Below are 5,657 nucleotides of genomic sequence, written 5' to 3'. Positions count from 1 at the left end.
TAGTTAATTTAATATCTATAGAAACAATGCTAATGACTGGTTTGCTGTTAATCAATATGTGGGTAAATCTCTGTTTGGGGCTCTCAGCTCTGAAGGCTGTGAGACCCATGATTTCCCACTTCACACTTCTATATTTCTGTGTATGCGTCTTTAATTCCTCTAGCGCCACTGGGTTAGGGTCTCCCCGACCGAGCTGGTCTCAGCATATAATATATTGCTAAATAAAAAATAAAATCAAGCTAAAAAAGAATATGTTGGCATGATACAAGTTCAAAAATACCTATATCTATATAAGTGTGTGCAGCAAATTTCAGTGGCAGATTCCTAAGACCCCAGCTCAAGCTGTTGTATAAAATAGAGACTCTTAGGGCATTAATCGCAAGTCCAGAGGGCATGAGCGGTTTGAAAACTACTGGTCCAGGAACTTAGAGATTTTTAAAGAGTCAGGTTTTGGTGACTTCCAGCCTTGCTCCACACAATGTCAGACTCACCACTACATACCAAACAAGTTGTAGAATTCCCAGTATTGTTTTTATTCCTTCACGTGCAGAGGGAAAAGTGAGCATGCCTTTAGTCAACACCTGCCAGGTGCAAGCTAAGTAGCTAAGTCACTTGCCCAGCCAAGAACCGTAGACTCAGGGAAAGCCACGCTCTGCTAAGCATTTGCCTGGTCCTTAAGCTTCCCACTGGCATGGGATGGCATTATGGGTTGAAATGTGTCCCCTCAAAGTTGCAGTGAAGTCCTAACCCCCAGTGTGACCTTATTTAGAAATAGATTGTTGTGGATGTAATTAGTTAAGAAAAAAATCATGAATGTAGGCACTAATCTATTGTGACCGTGTCCTTATGAAATGGAAAAACCTGGACCCAGGCACACTTAAAGGAAGACAATGAGAAGAGACACCGGGATAAGATGGCCATCTACAAGCCAAGAAGAGAAGCCTGGAACAGATCCTTCCCTCAGTCTCACAAGAAACCAGTTCTGCCAACATCTTGATCTCAGACTTCCGGCCTCCACAACTGGGAAAGAATACATATTTCTTCTGAAGCCGTTCCGTCTGCGGTAGTTTGTTCTGGCAGCCCCAAGAAATGAATGCAGCTGGGATCACCGTGATTACCTGAGGTCAGACGATGTGCTCCAAGTTGTGCATGCATGGGCATCACCTCACGAGTTTGACAGAGTGCAGATTGCTGGGTCGCACCCCCAAAGTGTCAGATTCCTAGTGAAGGGGGAGGTGGAGAACCTGCATTTCTAACAAGTTCCCTGTTGGTGCTGCTGCTGCTGCCTCCAATTCATTGCAGCCTGTCCCAGGAGTGGAGTCAATCCCAGAGGATGGGTGTGTCAAGAGCAACATCACCCAGCCTGGTGTGGATGACAGGCACAGATATGGCTATAAACACCGCTTAACAGAGGCAGGCAGGTTGCTGTTATTTGGAGGCTTTCCCATTTTGTGCACATGTTCTTTTTTTCCTCCATGTTTAATATACAGTTTTCAATTTAAAAATTAAACTAATTTAACAAAAAGGGCATAATTTTTAAAGAAATTAAGTAAACTCTTCAAACTAAATCAATATGAGAAAATTAAGAGACTAATGATAGGCTAGACTTACCTCTCCTTTCCCAGTGTCTCCTTTAGCAGGGAAGCCAAGGGGCATGGTATCTTCATTTTCTAATCTCTCTCAATGAACAATGAATTCAGTGTGGTGGAATTCATTGGGGTGGCACCGCTGTAAATCTTGTTAGAGATTTCCAGTAATGCCAGGCTGAATGATTTGAACCAACTTTTTCACGGAACTAAAATAGAGAAGATAAACAGTTTTTGTTTATTTTGGGGATTTTTGTCGATTTAACATATTCAAGGAAATAAATAAAACATAAGATAAAGAAAGTTTGCCAAGAACAGAAACTTATAAAAAGAACTTAGGAGCATTCAGCGTCATTCACAGTTTAAAAGGGTTCCCTTGGCCAGGTGCGGTGGCTCTCGCCTGTAATCCCAGCACTTTGGGAGGCTGAGGAGGGTGGATCACCTGAGGTCGGGAGTTTGAGACCAGCCTGACCAACATGGAGAAACCCCGTCTCTACTTAAAATACAAAATTACCCGGGTGTGGTGGCACATTCCTGTAATCCCAGCTACTTGGGAGGCTGAGGCAGGAGAATCACTTGAACCTGGGAGGCAGAGGTTGCAGTGAGCCGAGATCACGCCATTGCACTCCAGCCTGGGCAACAAGAGTGAAACTCTGTCTAAAAAAAAAAAATAAAAAAAAGATTACCTTATACATCCTGAGTCTCCAATCCCAGGAGGTTTAGGGTACTGGACTGGAAAGTAAGGGAAACTGAAATGAGAAGAGAATCTCAGGCTGTGTACGATGGCTCACGCCTGTTATCCCAGCACTTTGGGAGGCTGAGGTGGGTAGACCACAAGGTCAGGAGTCCGAGACCAGCCTGGCCAAGATGGTGAAACCCCATCTCTACTAAAAATACAAAAATTAGCCAGGCACAGTGGCAGGCACCTGCAATCGCAGCTACCCGGGAGGCTGAGGCAAGAGAATCGCTTGAACCCGGGAGGCAGAGGTTGCAGTGAGCCGAGATCATGCCACTGCACTCTAGCCTGGGTGACAGCGCAAGACTCTGTTTCAAAAAAAGAAAAAAGAAAAAGAAAAAGAAAATCTCTTAATGAACACACCAATTCTAAGAGTGAAAGGTACTGACTCCAAGATTCTATGTGACTTACACATACACATGCGTATCCACAGATACTTGTTTCCCAATGGATTCACAGCCAACACTGCCAGAGAGGAAGAGATCAGGACCCAAGGGGCCAAGTCATAGTCTGCAAGGAGAACCCTAAGCAAGGAACCCCTCCCTGCTGCCCCTCCTGCCACAGGCACTACTAGGGCCTGGCCAAGAGTATGAAGCTACAAGATGTGGTAATTCACAGGTTTCCAGCTCCAAAGAGAGAAACATAAAGACTAATATTTCATATGTGCCACACTAAGAAGAAAATAAGCCTTTCACCTGGATCCCACTTCCTGGATCAGAGAGGTCTGAGTCAGGCAAACCAAGGCAAACCCTCTCATTAGCAAATTCTTCAACTTATTGGAGACTCTGCTTGCTCAGCTCTAAAATGAGGTTTGTACTGGTCCCTAATTCACAGGGTTAGTGACAGGATTACCAATAGTACAGGGAAAAACCAAACAGTATGGAAAGAGCTCAGCATGGTGGTCACCACCGGCATATGGTGAGTTTCAGTTAGAGGTGGTTATCATGATGATAGGCAGTTCCCTACAAAGGGCCAACCAAAGAGAAACAACAGTTTCAGAAAGAAGGCATCTGTGTGAAGGCTGGCATCATTGAGCATCATGTGAGATACTGACTATCTTGCACGTCCACCTGAATTTATTACCAGACTTGATCCCTCCATAATAAACAGAGAATTCATCATTTTTGTGATGCCTTTGTTTCTTGAGTCCAATGAGGTTTCCCATGCTACTACATTTTTTTACAAATGAAATCCTAAAATTATTTGCAGATTTGAATGAACTGTATCCAGAATTATAGCAGTTCAACCAATAAAAATGTGTACACCCTCTACCACAGTTCTTGTCTTAATTTGGTGGATTTTCCCTGGAATGTCAAAACCATTTCAATACCAGAGTTTCTTTGCGTTTAGAACTGCCTTCTTTCACAGTCCTCAGGAAATATTCTGGAGAAATCAGAGGAATGTGAAACCCAAGATAGCCTTGTTCCACTCTCCAAAACCTACTCATTACCCATGGCAGAAATTCAAATCTACCAGACAATTTGTCTGACGGGGCATGTGTGAACTATGAGACACAGGAACAGTCCCAAGTCAAGAGTTCACGAATTGGGCTGAAAATTTTATAAACTCATAGCAACATCATCCATTTATGAACATTTTGTAAACTCATAGCAACATCATCCATTTACAGAGTCATTTGCAATTCATCAAGTACTTTTGCAACATCCTAATGAAAACATTGATAATAATAAAACAACTTATTTTCACATAGACCTTTAGATGAAAAAATCCTACACGTGATTTATCTTCTTTCATCTTCAAAAAGCTGCGAATCACTTGACATTATTATCTCTATTTTTCAAACAAGAAAATGAAGACAGTGAGAAGTTAAGTAATATGCCTGCAGTCTGGAGGAGGGAATAAAGATACAATCCTAGGTTTGGCATTCCAAACACCATGCTTTTTCCTCTGTTACACTGTCTCACATAAATTTATCTCCAGTAATCTCCAAGGGTGGGTATTAGAGCTATCCATCCTCAGAACTCTGATGTGGAGAAGGAATATTACAGCAAAAAGAGCAGACTTTGTCAAAACAATGTGTCTGTCAGTCCCTGTCATTGAACCACATGAGAAAAACTAACTCGTCAACTGGAGCTTCGCAGAAGGTCCGGCCACCTGCAGGCTGGGGTCTTAAAGAGGAAAAGTGCCCAGCCCCTGGTTGACTTACCTCACCGCACCTTAAATGTCTTGATATTATTACAAGCCGTGTTTGGGAGAGAAGGGAGACAGCCCCGGCCCAGCCCCACCACATGACTGTCAATGGTCCTTACACACATTTGACCAGCTGCAGGGTGCCCAGGCTTCATATCTGGTTGCTGTCCTTGGCTCATTTCTCTCCTTCACATCCCAGATCCTGTCATCAGCAAGGCCTGACACCTCTACTTCCAAGGGATAACTGAAAACAACCACCTCCACTGTTACTACTAGCCCAACCTGCCCTAACTGCTGGCCTAAATCGCTGCGAGAGCCCCTAACCTGTCTCCCTGCTTTCTTGCTGTGAACTGTTCTCCACAAAGCACCAGGGCGATCTTTCTAATGGCTTCCCACTTCAATCAGTAAAACCTAAACTCCTTCCTGCACAAGCCCCTCCCTCACAGATCTCCCTACCCAACTCTCCACCTGCTGCTTCCCAGTCAGCCGAACTAGACTTCTGTGTTTTCCTCTAATCCAAGCTTCTCAACATGTGGAGCCAATGCCAGCAGCACCAGGGAGTCCAATGAAGAATGCAGATTCTCGGGCCCTAACCCTGATCTGCTGAGTCTAAACCTTGGGGTGGAGATTCAGAGTTTTAGCAAGGCCCCAGGGGATAATAAGGCAGCAAAGTATGAGAGCCACTGACCTAATCCAAATGTACTCTCAGTATATTCCTGCCTCAGGGCCTTTGGTGTTTCTGTTTCCTGTACTTAAAATGCTCTTCCCACCAGTTTGGCACATGTCTGACTTGTCTTGAGTCACCTCTGAAAATATCTTAAGTATTTATTTGGGTTTTTTTTTGTTTGTTTGTTTTCCGCTTTCTCACACTCAGTGAGAGCATAAACTCAGTGAGGTGAAAAAAGGGCCACAGTCCTGCTTGCCACTATCTCCCTGGAAGAGCGCAGGGCACAGAGTACACCTTCAACACCTCACTGAGTTGATGCATGAACATTGGAGCACCTGCCCCTGGTCAGCCATGTGACAGTGAGTTCTCCCATTTCGCATGTGAGAAAGTTAAGGTTCATAGAAGGTAACAGGCTAGTCTTTGGTCCGAGTAGAAAAGCTGGAACTTGCACATCCCATTTCCATGCACTTCCTTCTGTATCATTTGAAAAAGCCACTTAAGGAAGGCACCTTATCTT

The 5,657-nt window shown here is 44.0% G+C and overlaps 1 annotated feature.

The window, feature by feature from the left end:
• Positions 4,387-4,886: an enhancer, noted in NCBI's record as "H3K4me1 hESC enhancer chr7:46073125-46073624 (GRCh37/hg19 assembly coordinates)". NCBI's record gives its function as "activates a minimal SCP1, AML or CMV promoter by ChIP-STARR-seq in naive H9 embryonic stem cells {active_cell/tissue: H9 hESC(naive)}" and the evidence as "EXISTENCE:reporter gene assay evidence [ECO:0000049][PMID:30033119]".

Source organism: Homo sapiens, chromosome 7 (assembly GCF_000001405.40).
Source record: "Homo sapiens chromosome 7, GRCh38.p14 Primary Assembly".
NCBI classification, from domain to species: domain Eukaryota; kingdom Metazoa; phylum Chordata; class Mammalia; order Primates; family Hominidae; genus Homo; species Homo sapiens.
The sequence above is the reverse complement of the archived record's forward strand: the minus strand, read 5'-3'. Positions and strand labels throughout refer to the sequence as shown.